Source organism: Homo sapiens, chromosome 4 (genome assembly GCF_000001405.40).
Source record: "Homo sapiens chromosome 4, GRCh38.p14 Primary Assembly".
NCBI classification, from domain to species: Eukaryota; Metazoa; Chordata; class Mammalia; order Primates; family Hominidae; genus Homo; species Homo sapiens.
In genome coordinates, this window is record NC_000004.12 from 184,029,903 (window position 1) to 184,044,909 (window position 15,007).

Genomic DNA, 15,007 nt, shown 5'->3' on the forward strand with positions numbered 1-15,007 from the left:
CCCAGTATTTTGGGAGGCTGAGGCGGGCGGATCACTTGAGGTCAGGAGTTTGAGACCAACCTGTCCAACATGGTAAAACCCTGTCTCCACTAAAAATACAAAAATTAGCCAGGCGTGGTGGCACATGCCTGTAATCCCAGCTACTTGGGAGGCTGAGGCAGGAGAATCACTTTAACCCAGGAGACGGAGGTTGCAGTGAACCAAGATCGCGCTACTGCACTCCAGTCTGTGCAACAGAGCAAGAATCCGTCTTTTTTTTTTTTTTTTTAAAAAGACAATAAACAGAAGGTCACAAGTTGTGACTCCCATGTCTTCCCTCTTTCGACACTCTTGAGCTCAGCTGTCTTCTGGTTGGCGAGTGCTTCCTTTCTCCGCAGCGTCTTCTGGCCACTTCACTCTGACTGAGGCTGAATTTTGAAGCTTACAGATTTCTCGTGAGTATAAAAAGCCTTATTAATTTTTTCGAGCTGTAAATCAATGTACCTCCTGCTAGCCAGAGAAAAAATATTGTTCTCGTCTCAATAAAGTGCAATCCAGAATTTCTTTTTTATTTTTTAATTTTTTTTTTAATTTTTAATTTTTATTTTTTTGAGACAGAGTCTTGCTCTGTCGCCCAGGCTGGAGTGCAGTGGCACAATCCTGGCTCTCTGCAACCTCCATCTCCTGAGTTCAAGTGATTCTCCTGCCTCAGGCTCCCGAGTAGCTGGGATTACAGGCATGCACCACCATGCCCGGCTAATTTTGTATTTTTAATAGAGATGTTGGTCAGGCTGGTCTCAAACTCCCGATCTCAGGTGATCTGCCTGCCTCAGCCTCCCAAAGTGCTGGGATTACAGGTGTGAGCCACTGCGCCCAGCCCAGAATTTCATACTATGAAGTAGGATTAAGAGGGGAAAACTCTCAGGAGTAAAGATTAAGTGTCATTTCTTCCTTGGGGCACAGAGTAAAAGCCATCATGTAGCAAAGACAAATGAATTATTTGTAGCCGGTGTAAGCTGGTGCTTGATTTTTTTTTTTTTTTTTTCAATAGAGATAAGGTCTTGCTCTGCTGCCCAGGCTGGGCTGGAACTCCTGGGCTGAAGCAATCCTCCTGACTTGACCTGCCAAGTAGCTGAGACTACAGGCATGTGCCACTGTGCCTGGCTTATTCTTCTTAGTCCTTACTTGAGTATTTAGACATTCTTCCCAAATGCTTTGTCACAACTAACTCATTTCCCCTCAAAATCCAAGTGAGAATCTTCAGACACTTCCTATAGGCCCAGATATCTAGGGCTTGTCAATTAATGTTGTAATTAATTAATTTTTATCATAATTTGTAAAAAAAATGCATCTAAATCACAGACTTAAAAAATGTCACCCCCAAAAGGTAGTTCATTTTGGGGAATGCTTTTTTAAAAATGTGGGGTCTCCTTGTTATAAACTAGGTTTTTGCAAAGGTATATGAAAAAGTGAGGTTTGAATTTGATAGTGCCTTGAATACTGCTCTTCCAGATTGAGAAATTAATAATACACTGTTTGAGGAAGGAACCCACATCAATAGAAAGAGGACATACAAGTGCACCTGCATGTATTCTGATGTTTGGATATGAATGTTGATATAGTGGATAGTTTACCCAGCAAGTATTCAGTGCTTTCCTCCTTGCTTCTGAGCATCCCTGAAGTTCTAGGGACACAAAGTAAAAGACATGATCGTTGCCTTCTAGGGGATTCAGAAGGGAAGGTCACCCCCGCACATGGAAGAGCAGTGATGCGCCCATACTGCAACGTGCTCGGGATACTGCGGGAAAGGGTTCCAGAACCATTCCGCCTACTCACCAGCTCTAGGATTTGGCAGCCAACACCCTCCTCTGACCTCCGAGGCTCGGCGTTATTGACTAACCCTAACAGGGATGGATCCCGCCTTCCCTGCCTCACAGTGACTTCTGTGAGGGTTAAACGAGAGCCATGAAAACCATGCATGTCAGGTAAGGTGCAAAACCACCATTGTGCGGTTGTGCAGGTTCGGGGGAGACAGAGCTCACTTTGCGATATTTTATTACTGGAGTCTAAGCTGGACCTCTAAAGCAGGGTGGGATATTGGTAAGGACAAAGGGGTTTGGAGAGTGTTCCGAGCATGGATGACAAGGGCTTAAACTCAGGAGCAACAAAGATAACAGTTGCAAGACAGAGGACATAGGATGGACCTTCCTCTCAAAGCAATGCGTAGCGTCATAAATGCTCTACGTGTATACGAGGGGGAAACGGGTGAACATCACAAATATCATTTTCCCAACACAGTTTTGCTATAGAACATGAAAGGTGAGCACTGGAATGTGACGTGGTAGAGGTTTGTCACATGTTATTGCCTCATGCCTTGTCTGCAAATGGAGCCACTACCCCCACCCCCAGCTTTCAATGACTAATTCCTACTTCAATAGGAGCCCTCTGTCTTGGCTCATTCCCCTCCAGTCTTTTCTCTCTCTCTCTCTTTCCTTCTCTCTCTCTCTCTTTCCTTCCTTCCTTTCTCTCTCTCTTTCTCTCTCTCTCTCCTTCTCTCCTTCTCTCTTTCTTTCTTTCCCCACTCCCTCCCTCCCTCCCTCCCTTCCTTCTTCATTCTTTTTTCTTTCTTTCTTTTTATAGAGGTAGAGTCTCACTCTGTTGCCCAGGCAGGAATGCACCAGCATGATCACAGCTCACTGCAGCCTCAAACCCCTGGGCTGTGGCCATCCTCCCGCCTCAGCCTTCTGGCCCCTTCAGTCATTTTAGCACTCTCGTGTTCTTTGCTTTCCCCCGTGGACATGTTGTGTGTCCCCAGCTGGATTTCAGAGTCCCCGAAGTCAGGAATGCCTCTCAGTCCTGTGACCTCACAGAGCCTGCAGTGGCTGGCTCTGGTGGGTATCGCTGGTCTGATGCTGACAAGCTGGCTTTCCCTCTTATGTTTACTTGGCCCTAACCCTGACAGCCACCCACTTGCAGTTCTTTTGGTGAGTTTCAAAGTGTCCTTCACAAAGTAATGTGCCCGCACTTGGCTAGAGAAAAGGCCAAATGTATTTTAAGGCTTCTGCAATACCTGTAGTTTTGGGTCCAGCCACTCTACCACAGTCGTGAGTGTAAAGATGACATGATCTTACTATGTTTTATGTGTGTTTTGGCATGATTAAATAGCAGCATTAGAACATGAACCTCAAAAATCACACCTTTCTGATGTTTCTCTTACTTTTTTTGGCTCTCCCTTCTAAGGCCCTGTGCCCACCCCTTGAATGATCAATGTCCCTTAAGGATTTTTGGGCCCCTTTTCTTCTTGTTCCTGGGCCTCTACTTGAATTTTCTTTCTGTCTTTTTTTTTTTTTTTCCTTTCTGTGAGGAACGGGGTCTCGCTATATTCCCCAGGCAGGTCTGGAACTCCTGGGCTCAAGCTATCCTCCCGCCTCAGCCTCCCTAAGAGCTGGGATTACAGGCGTAAGCCACCGCGCCCGGCACTTGAATTTTCCTGTAAAAGAATTCAGTATCTTAATCTTCAGCCCACACTTCCTCCCTGAGTTCCAGACTGGACATCTCTGTTTCTTCACAGCCAGTATTTCCAGCGAAACTTGCATCTTTCCCATCAGAACTTGGTCTTCCTTTCTGTGTCCCCAGCCTCGCCAAAGATCTCATTGGCTACCCACTTGCTAAAGCCACCAACTCAGGAGCGCCCCTCGGCCCCTTCCTCACTCCCTCGCATCCCACATGGAATCCATCACCAGGTGGTCTTCGTTTATCTCCTAAGAGTCTCCTGAGTCAGCCCACTTATCTCCAGCTCCACCACCACCACTGTGCTAGTTCAGCTCACCCTTACGTCTCGCCTAATTATTTCAGTGGCCTCTTCCTTGATGTCCTGCCTCATTTTCACCACACTGTCACTGGAGGCATCTTTCTAACATACAAGTCTAACTGTGTTACTCCCCGGCTTGGATCCTTTTGGTGGCCAAAGTTAGTTCAGTTAGATCCAAGTCTTCACTAAGGCTTGTCAAACCCCCCACCCCAAGTCCCGCCTGCTGACTCCACCCTATCCCCCAAGGCTGGCATCCCCGTGCTCCAGCCAGGCCTCTGCTCAGGCTCTTCGCTGCCTCCATCACCTCAAAGACCCTCAGCAGAACTGGAACAGCCTTTCCTGCCTTCACTGGCCCCATCATGGCGCCTGTTCACTACTCAATCTTTAGGTTTCATGGACCTGGGCTGCAAGATATTTGTCTGAGCTTGAAGACCCTGGAGAAGAGGCTCTTGTATGGCTCCCTTGGCCCCTACAGCTCAGAGCTGGGGATTTCCTGTCATGCCTGGGTCTTTGGGGTGAGACTTTTAGGTGAAGATGTGTGCAGGGGGGCATGTCCAGAGCAATAGTTCTCATCAGTGCATGGCGTGGGGGCGTGAATCAGTCACTGGAGAAATATTTCCAAAGTATGCATGGTTGGCCTCCAAGGAGACCCTCATCCTCTCAAGATTCCGATTCGGGAAATCCACAGTGGGGCCCAGGTGTGCATATTTTAACAAAGTTCCCTAAGATTGAGTCTGTTTTCTCTTCCCTGACCCTTTCCAAGAAAAGAAGAGGCTTAAAGCTTGGTGGTGATTTCTGAAATTGGTCTTCAGGAATCAGGGCACACTTTTCACTTTTTTTCTGCCTTCTCAGACATAATCCTAAAAAGCGAGACAGGAAGTTGTGTCACAGCCAGGCTAGGAGGTCTCAGATTGAAGACAATTCTGTAGAGACGTCCTGTACAGCAACTAACATTCTCCAAGGAGCTGAAATCTTAACAAAAAATTTTTTTCCTACAATTTCAAGTCTCCTATTTAAACTGACAACTTCATCCTTAGGTAACTGTAGTGACCATCTGGAGGTTTTAAGGTTTGTACTACATGTGAATAATATGCTGGCCCCAGCACTCCCCTCTACCAGCACAGATCCCAGGAACGGTTGCTTCTGGCTTCAGTGTCACGTTCACCCTTTGAAATGTACCTTCTCTAGGGAGAGAACACCGTAGCCAAGGGTACCCCCTTCGCAAACATGGGAAGCAGGTGAATTTATCTGGAGCCACTTTTCTATTCTCTGTCCATCAATTCTGTCTCCTGTACAGGAGAAAAACAGTAACTGTCTCCAAAAGTTCTCTTCTCTAAAGGTATATGTCTTATAAAAGAACCTTCGGTAGAAGGATGCTGGTGAACTCGGCCTTCCACATAGTTTCACAGTAGTCTGTTTGTGTGTCTTTCTGCCCTGTTAGTGTGGGGCTTTTTGAGCAGAGAGGCTGTGCCTTCGTCATCTTTGTATCTTCTGTGCTGACACAGACATAGGTGTTTGTTGAATGACTGAATGAATGAATGAATTCACGCATTCATGTATGCATGAGAGCGGCAGAAGGAATTATAGGCGTTTGGGGTAGGGTGGCCTTCAGCAAAGTCCCACAGATCCATATAGTCACCTATATGGTACCGGTATATTATTAGGGAGGCATTCTTATCAGTATTCCTAGGGAGGCATTATTATCAGTAATTTTTAAACAAAGTAATTAATATTTGAAAAATATACAAATATACAAATATGTGATAGAACATATTTGTATATTTGAAAAATAACGAGTGAAATTAAAATTTTCATAATATTAGAATTTAATACAATTAGCCCTCTGTATCTGCAGCTTCCACATTTGTGGATTCAACCATCTGTGGATTGAAAATATTGGGAATATCAATACCCACAGCAATACCAATATCAATATTAATAACAAATAACAATGCAACAATAAAAAATACAAATAAAAATCCAATCCAGTATAACAACTCTTTCCGTAGTATTTACATTGTATTATGTATTATGAGTGAACTGTTTAATAGAGGTGATTTGAAGTAGACAAGGGCCTGTGTGTGGGTTATATGCAAATACTGTGCCATTTTATATCAAGGACTTGAGCATTGAATTTTGGTATTTTCAGGGGGTCCTGGAACCATTCCCCCTAAGATGTTGAGGGGCAGCTGTACAAATTTATCCTGAAATGTCTCTAGTCTTCACTTTGAACTGCAGACACCTTGTGCCACCTTATCACTGAATTCTGTGTAGCCTGAAAGATTCCAAAACACACAGATATTCACACACGCCAACAATACAGGGGCAGTGTTAGACAAATGGGGTGAAGAATTGGGGAGCTATTCATAGGTGGAGAACAGATAAATATTTGGAACATCTGGTCTTATAAAACCATTTATTATTTTTTTGAGACAGAGTTTCGCTCTTGTTGCCCACCCTGGGGTGCAATGGCATAATCTCGGCTCACCACAACCTCCGCCTTCCAGGTTCAAGTGATTCTTCTGCCTCAGCCTCCCAAGTAGCTGGGATTACAGGCATAAGCCACCACACCTGGCTACTTTTGTATTTTTAGTAGAGACTGGGTTTATCTATGTTGGTCAGGCTGGTCTCGAAATCCTGACCTCAGGTGATCCACCTGCCTCAGCCTCCCAAAGTGCTGGGATTATAGGCATGAGCCACCGCACCCGGCCTTATTATTATTTTTATTAAAAACTATGTTTATTATAAGAAAACTGAGAATTACAAGAAAGTAGAAAACAAGCGAACAAGAATTAACCATCATTATATCAACCAAAGATGATCATTTTCAATATAATGTGTTTATTTTATATATATATATACATGTATATTAGACTGTATGGTCCCAATTTTGTTTAAAATATATTTTTAAAAAATTGGGACCATACAGTCTAAACTGTTTTGTAACCTGCCTTTTTCCCATAGTTATCCTTAACATTTTTCATGGCTTTAAACATTCATCCACATTGCTCCAAATGGCTGCATAGTGATGCCTTCCTTAAATCATTTTCCTTCTGTTTCTCATTGTTGGATATTTTCAAAAACATTTTTTCTGATGTGAATGTTCAGGCCGTCACAAACATCCCTGAAGAAACCTGAACATGTCCTGGAATTAGAATTGCTAGGTCTGTAGTTCTCCCCATGTTTAAGGCTTCTGAAAAGACATCGTCAAGTTACCCTTCATTGTTTGTCGTGTCCAGTTACATCCTGGTCAGCAGTTATTCTAAAACTATTTTCCAACACATGTAATGGTCACTTTTATTTTGGAACCTTTACAACTGCATCCATTACTGTAGGATTTGCATTTCAGGATTACATACTGATGTATAATTTTCCTGCAAAATTATTCTGCGTGGTTGAGTCTTTACCAGGTAAAGTATCATATCTCCTAATTAAGTTTTAATAAAACAGTATTATGATAGGGGATTTCTTGGCTTTTGCATCTCTGAAAGTCCACCAGGGGAAGCCAAATTAGTCATTGCTAATCAGAAATATTTTGAGAGAAAGTAACTGTTTCACTGTAAAACTTTTTCACCTGGATGGCTGGGAACAGCATATTCAAATTCAAAATTCTTTCTGCTCTCTTGCTCTCAAGTATGCAAGCACAATGCAAGTATGATTTGGTCTCCAGCTTGGTAGAGAAACATTTACAACACAACCCATATATTTTCATCCTGGTTGTATGGGTTGAATAAAAAGCATCTCTAATTCCCATGAAGATTCAACCTCTGGTATAAGATGTTTTTCATTTTAACCCAGAGTGAAAGCTGCACAGAAACTACTTGACTGTATTCTTCTGTTAGTAACATTAGATTCCCAAGATGCAACAGGCTTTCAGATGTATTATTCTCCTACAATGAAGAAACTCAAGGATACGAAAACCTGGAAGAGCTTTTCATTTGACATCTTCCTTTCAAGGTAACAGTTGTGCTGCAGTTTGTTTAGTGTGCACCAGCTTATTAGTGGTAGCTTTGTGTGAAAATGTGGTTATCACAAAAAGGTAATATATGGTGAAGAGCAGCTGCTCCTAATCACAAACCATCCATAAATAGCTTTCCCTCCTTGAGAAGACGCTCAATTCTCTGGTTGTCACAGTCAGCAGAAAATGAAAACCCCATAGGATGATAAATAGTTTAAAACATATTTCTCCCCAGTGTTTTGAATGCTGTCTTATAATGCAGTGCACTTTTACTGAACCAGAAATTGTCTGTAATAAAAGAATATTGGGAGAAAATGTTTAGATTCTCACTGAATTCTAGAACTTCGAAGGAATGTTCTGGTTTCACTGTTAAAGGTTAATTGCTGAGTATATGTCATAGGCTGCAATAAAATGAGAGTTTTTAGTCTTCTGCTCCCAATAAACAGTTACAGTTTTTAACACATCAAAGTTGGAGACCTTTTTTTCTTAATTAACATAACAGCCAAGTGAATTTCTTGGCAATAAGCAAATGATTGCTTTTAAAAATCCTATAAATATTTCATTTTTTAAGTCATCAAAAAGAAAACAAATCACTTCTGTCAGCTGTCTTTTGACACAAAACCATCTTTCCCGTATACACACAGAAAAAATATTGTTCTTGATCTTTATGCTGATGCCTTTTCTGGCTATTAATCATCTGTTTTATACATGATATTGACCATTCCCTGGAGGCACTCAGAACTTGCAGCTTCCCTTCCTTATGAAAGGAAATTGAGGAGAGTCACGGAAATAATTTCAGAATTTTCTCAAGACTGTTGAGACTAAATTCTAAATGATTGAACCATGGTAGTAAATTCATTGTCAGGTCGAGGCTGTGACTTTTCTTATTTTTGTTTCAAAAAAATTTTTTTTTTTTTTGAGATGGAGTCTTGCTCTGTTGCCAGGCTGGAGTGCAGTGGTGCGATCTTGGCTCACTGCAACCTCCAGCTCCCTGGTTTGAACGATTCTCCTGCCTCAGCCTCGCGAGTAGCTGGGATTACAGGCACATGCCACCAAGCCCAGCTAATTTTTTTTTTATTTTTAGTAGAGATGGGGTTTCACCATGTTGGCCAGGATGGTCTCGATCTCCTGACCTCATCATCCGCCCACCACAGCCTCCCAAAGTGCTGGGATTATAGTCGTGAGCCACCACGCCCGTTCAAAGCTGTGATTTTTTCTACTTGAAGCCACTGGTTTCCACCAGAGGTTAATTGACTGTCAGTCTTTCCTGTAGGTGACTCTTCCAACTATTAGCAATAATCAGTATCTACAGAGGAGAATCTCAGTTGTAAGTGGCTTGACTGAGTCTAGCAAATGAAACTTTGTTCTTGCCCTAGCTGACTGATGTCTCAAAAGTCCTTGAAATTTTCTATTCATTCCAGTGTATGCACAAAACAAAGAAAAAGTGAGCTTGTTTTCCACAGCCCGAATCTTCCCAGAGCAGATGGGGCTTGCGTTTCGCAGGGTGGGGGGTGTCCTGAGGACTCCCACCTTGACATTGCAATGAAAACTTTCTCTCGAATCTCTGAATTCTCTTATCTGGCACAATAAATGAGAAAAGCCTGCCTGCTTCCCTTGGTAGGCTTAAAGAGTGCTCTCATGTTAGATGAATATCCAGAAATCATCTCTTCTCTGGCATAGCAGAAGGCACATGGTGGGTCCCAGATGTTTCTTCAAGCCTGTCATTCCCAGACATAATAGATTACATCAGGGAAGCCAGCAGGAAGGAAGGGAGCGCTGCCTTTCTCTCTCTTTCTTTCCTCCCTCCCTCCTCGTCGCTTTCTCCCTCTGTCTCTCTCATCCCCCAAGCCCACCCCACCTTTTCTTTCTTTTCTAAAGGTTCCAGGGGAGTTGAAGGTTGACTCAGAACCTCCCTTTATGAAAAAACCTGCCCACATTTCAGTAACTACAGCTGGTGTTAAAAGACTTTGGTTGGTTAGAAAAATTTCAGATGTCACAAGCTTGGACAGCACGTGGGAACGTGGAGGGGACGGTGGCATGAGGGCACCTCAGCAGTGTCCCCTTGGCCGCCTCTGGCCTTCCCCTTGGATGAGCCTCCTGCAGTTCTGTTTTGGAGACAAGAGCTTCCTATGCGGTTTCTTCCTCCTTGACTGAAAATCACTGGGAAAGCTAACAGAGCACCCTAGAAAACTCCAGAAACTTTCTAACTGCCTAAGGCAAAGTGACCTTAACCCTAAATGACCCTCCCTTATTTCTCCAGTACTGTGCTACATTTCATAGATTAGGGTTAGTGACCTTTGAATGAGTTCACCCGCGTGATTTCACAGATGAGGGGCCTCAGATTCATGACAGCACATGGTCCCTACTCGTGGTAGGAAGCCAATGAGGGCAGCCCAGGCTGCAGACGCGAATTGAACGGAAGCGTGTGTGCAGCGGCGTGTGGGTGGTAAGCTCTCCCTCCACTGCGCTTTCAGGCTGTCCACAGACCTCACCAAACCCCGCGGGGCTGGGAGCAGCCGCGCGCAATCCGCTCTTGGGAGCCCTGGGAGCTGGCTGTGCCCCTGTAGCATCGGATTCCACAAGACTAATTAAGAACCTGGGCGGGAGGGAGAGAGAAGCTGTGCGCTTCCTGCAGCGATGGAGTGTAGAAAATGCTTTTTTCTAACTGCAGTGCTGTCTCATTGCTCTCCAGCCGCGGTCCACCTGGGGCATGCTGGAGCTGATCTTTCTCAAGTTATTTCCCAAGTAAAAGGAGAGAACAGAGAGAACAGCAAGGGCTCCTCCTGTGTGGCTTTGCTGCGGTGGGCTTGGCTCCTCAAAACTGTAAACGCTGCCCTCCTCTTCCGTGACTTCCCCTCTGCCGGTGGGGGTGTTAGACGCACCTGGGGAGTCGCTCCCACCCATATTGGGTGTAATCCCACTGAAGGATCGGGGCCCTGAGGGAGAAGGGAGGAATTTACAAAGACTCCTCATATCCCTCTCTTTTTTTCTTTTTTAATTTTGTAGAGGTGGAGTCTCCTTATGTTGTCCAGGCTGGTCTTGAACACCTGGCGCCAAGTGATCTTCCTACTTCAGTCTCCCAAAGCACTGATAGCCCTCTCTTCCAACCAGCCACCTTTTGCTCATGACCTATTTGATCCTGGTCTACTGGGGCAGAATGTAAATTGAGACTTTTGAGTCCTTTTCTAAGCAGCCTTTCAGAGCTGGGAAAGAACTGCGCCATCTCCTTGATCCGTTCCCATCAATCACTCTCCTGTCCCATGCGTGGAATGGACATGGAGTCCCCGCGTGAGCTCAGTACTGGTAGAGAGATGCCTTCCATATCTCACTGCTTTTAATCATTTTGGCCACTTTATAAGAACAACATAAGATGGTTAGCATCCTTCCCTTTTCAAGAAGAGGAAATTTGGGCTTGGAGGTCGGTTGTGTTGTCAAAAGTCATATGGTTGGTGGACAGCAGAGTTAGGAGTTACACACTAGCCAGGCTCATGCCACAACCTGAATGGCTGGAGACGCCACGCTGCCTTGTGTACTTTCACATCAACAGAAAGCCCCTCGTTTTGTATCCTATTTATATGACTGTATCAGTTACAAACATTATGATTCTACTGTCTTTGGCATGTAGCATGCCAAACCAAGCTCATACGGAGCCATAATGGAATGTGTCCACAGACTGACCACAGTGTTGCTTTACAGAAGACAGACTTCAGAGCAAAATAAACTCCACAAAGCGTGCTGAATGGGTTCCTATGACGCGCAGCCATAAGGAAGTTTCTTTTTAAAACAAAGTTAACTTTTTTCCTGTTTATAAGAATAATGCACAACCATCGGGAAAAAAAACTAGGAAAATATAACGGAAAAATTTTAAAACCACCCATAGTGTTAACGTTAAGCTGTATGTAGTTTCAATTGTACATATATACATTTTAATAAATCAGACTAATTATATATGGCCTTTTAAAAAACTGTAACATTGTCCCTGACCATATGGCCAACCATTAGCTACTCCATGAATCAAAGCAGGACCTTAGTCCAGACCATCTATTCTGTAGGCAAAGTACTGCCCCCTGGGAGGATTTTCCTCCCCCATGTTCAGGGTTACCATGAAGTGGGGCTATAATGACTTCAATACTCCGCTTGGGGCTGGTTCTGGCATATGGTACAGAGCCATCAGTACATTTGGCTTCAGTTGTTTTCCTCTTTTGTCAGTAGGTCATCAGGAATTTACCATGAGGCCATGGGAAGAGGTGGAGAGCATGTTGTCAGTGTGGCCAGGGCAGCATCCTGGGCTCCTGAGCACATGTGACTTATTGATGCCTTTGTGAGCTGTAGATATCATCTGTCCCTAATGGTGGAGCACTTCTTGGAATTTCCAACTTTATGACCAAGTAGATCTTATAACACTCAGTTCATGAATGATGAGTATTGGGTGTCTTGTCACCTGGTGTCACCTGGTCAGCCATCTCCACCAGGATCTCGTGGCAAGCCGGGAAGTGTTACTCTTAGAAGGAGAAGAGGTATTTGTTGGAGGCAGAGTTTTACTCATACATTTTAAGGTCTTTCACTGTCTTTAAAGAACTTTTTTTGTGTGTGTAAGGTACACATAACATAAAATTTACTATCCTAACCATTTTTAAGTGTGTCGTTCAGTGGTATTAAGGACATTTATAATATTGTGCAAATATCACTGCCATCCATTTCCAGAGCTCTTTTCATCTTGCAAAACTGAAACTCTATACTTACTAAAAAATAACTCGCCATTCTCCACTCCTCCCAGCTCCTGGCAAAGTAGACCAGCATGCTACTTTGTGTGTCTATGAATTTAACTACTCCAAATACTTCATATGAATGGAATCATACAGTTTAGTATTTTCCTTTTGCAACTGGTGTATTTCACTTAGCATAATGTCTTCACAGTTCACCCGTGTTGTAGCATGTGTAAGAATGTCCTTCCTTTTGAAGTCTGAATAATATTGTATTGTGTGTATATACTACATTATGTTTACCCATTTGCCTATCAATGGACACTTATGTTGCTTCCACATTGTAGCTATTGCGAATAATGCTGCTATGAACATGGGTGTGCAAATATCTCTTCAAGACCCTGCTTTCAGTTCTTTTGAGCATATATCCAGAAGTGGAATGGCTAGATCATATGGTAGTTATATTTTTAATTTTTTGAGGGGAAATCTTACTGTTTCCACAGTGACTGTGCCATTTTACATTGTCACCACCAGTGAACAAGGATTCCGATTTCCCCACATCCTTGGCCAAACTTGTACTTTTTTGTTTTTTGTTTTTTGTTTTTTTGGTAGTAACCATACCAGTGGGTGTGAGGTGGTATCTCATGGTTGATTTGCATTTCCCTAATGATGAGTGATTTGGAGTGTCTTTTCCTGTGCGTATTGGCCATTTGTATATCTTCTTAGAAGACACGTCTATTCAAGTCCTTTGCCCATTTTTGAATCAGGTTTTCCTTTGTTGTTGAAGGTCTTTCACCTTTGATGCTCCTGTGGAAGCTTGCAGTAGGTTCCAGACAGTCTCCTGATGTGCTCTAGGTCCTTCGAGCACTGCTTGTTCGTAGCACTGACTCTAGAGTCCTGAGGTTCTAGCAACATCTATTGGTCTGCAACTCTGAGCAGCATAAGAACTGTGCTGCGGGAGAAAAACATGCTGTAAAGAGCATTGCTGGCTCCATTTGTTCCATTCCCATCATCCACTCTCCCTTCCCACACATGGAATGGACATGGAGTCCCCACCGTGAGCTCAGTACTGGCAGAGAGATCCCTTCCACATCTCAACACTTCTCATCATTTTGGTCACTTTATAAGGACAACATAAGATGGTTGGCCTCCTCCCCTTTTCAAGAAGAGGTAATTTGGGCTTGAAGGTCAAACTTCTGGCCCAATTCTCACTTAAAGCCCGCAGCTGTTCACAGCACAGAAATTTTGTCGCTTTATTACACTTTAAGTTTTTCTGTATTTTTCACAAATCAAGGTTGAGATTATGCATTATCTTCTGATTTCCCCAAAATAGGAAATGAATAATTTAACTCACTTATATGTCCCCATCTATTACAACATTTCTTCCTTTACCAGTTGTCCAGACTTTGTTAATTAAAATCCAGTTTATTGTTTTTTACATTTTTTTACATCATGTATCTTCTCTATCTCTGAGAAATCTAAATTTCATTTGCTTCTACTTATGTGGAATGATTTTTTGAGATTTAACACTATCTTAATTGGTTATAATGACAATGGTCAGTTCTTGTATGCACCATTCATTGATACTAGAACTGGAATTAGAATTCCCCTTCAAGTCTATTGGAATGCTTCTTCAAATAATTTTTTAAGAAAGAGACATAGATGATATTTTCTGAGCCTTTGTATGTACCAGACCATTTTTCGGATGCCTTCACAAAAGAAAAATAACTGAGGATAAAAATTATAAGTATATTACTCCAACTTCTATAATTATTATTTTATTTCTTCTGGTTTGTAGTATGACAGAAAAAAAAGTCTAAGTCCACTAGTCCAGGTTGATTTTTGTTCACTTTTAAGGAAACTTTTATGAGGGAACTTCTTTTTTGTACTACGTATGTTTAGAATTTTTTTGTTGTTTGTTGGAAGACTTTTACAAACATTTTAATCTTTTTAAAAAATAATTTCAAACTTACGAAAAAGCTGTAAGAATAATATGAGTACAAAGAACACCCATGTGCACTTTGCCCAGATTCACCTGTGGCTAACACTTGGCCTTGCTCGTCTTAGTTTCTCTCTCTCTCTCTCTCTCTCTCTCCCTCTCTGTTTGTCTCTCTCTGCCTGTCTCCCTCTCTCTCCCTGTCTTTCCATTCACAGACACCCCCAACTTTTTCTGAACTATTTGAAGGTAAGTTAGATACATAATGGCCCTTTGTTCCTGAATACTTTGGTGTGTGTTTTCTAAGACAAAGGAGAGTATATTTTCAGTTTTAGTAAATTTAATATTGGAAAAGTATTTTTTATCTAAGCTAACCACCCATTTTCCAGTTGTGTCAGTTGATCCAATAATGCTCTTTATAGCATGTTTTCTCCCTTAGCGTAGTGTCTAGTCTAGAGTCACATAGTCTGTGTATTTGCTGTGTGTCTTTAGCCTCCTACAATCTGGACTGTTACCACAGCCTTGTGTGTGTGTGTGTATGTGTGTGTGTGTGTGTGTGTGTGTTTTTAATCACATCTACATATTCTGAAGAATGCAGCCCCCTTCTCCTTTTTTTAGTG

The 15,007-nt window shown here is 42.7% G+C and overlaps 1 long non-coding RNA gene across 1 annotated transcript in view; it reads left to right on the plus strand.

The window, feature by feature from the left end:
- Positions 1-1,060: 1,060 nt before the first annotated feature.
- The window catches only part of LOC107986330 (uncharacterized), a 31,852-nt gene continuing 17,905 nt past the window's right edge, over positions 1,061-15,007 (plus strand). Inside the window, exon 1 of the long non-coding RNA XR_002959824.2 lies at positions 1,061-1,964. This is a non-coding gene — a long non-coding RNA (uncharacterized LOC107986330). The remainder of the gene's footprint in view (positions 1,965-15,007) is intronic.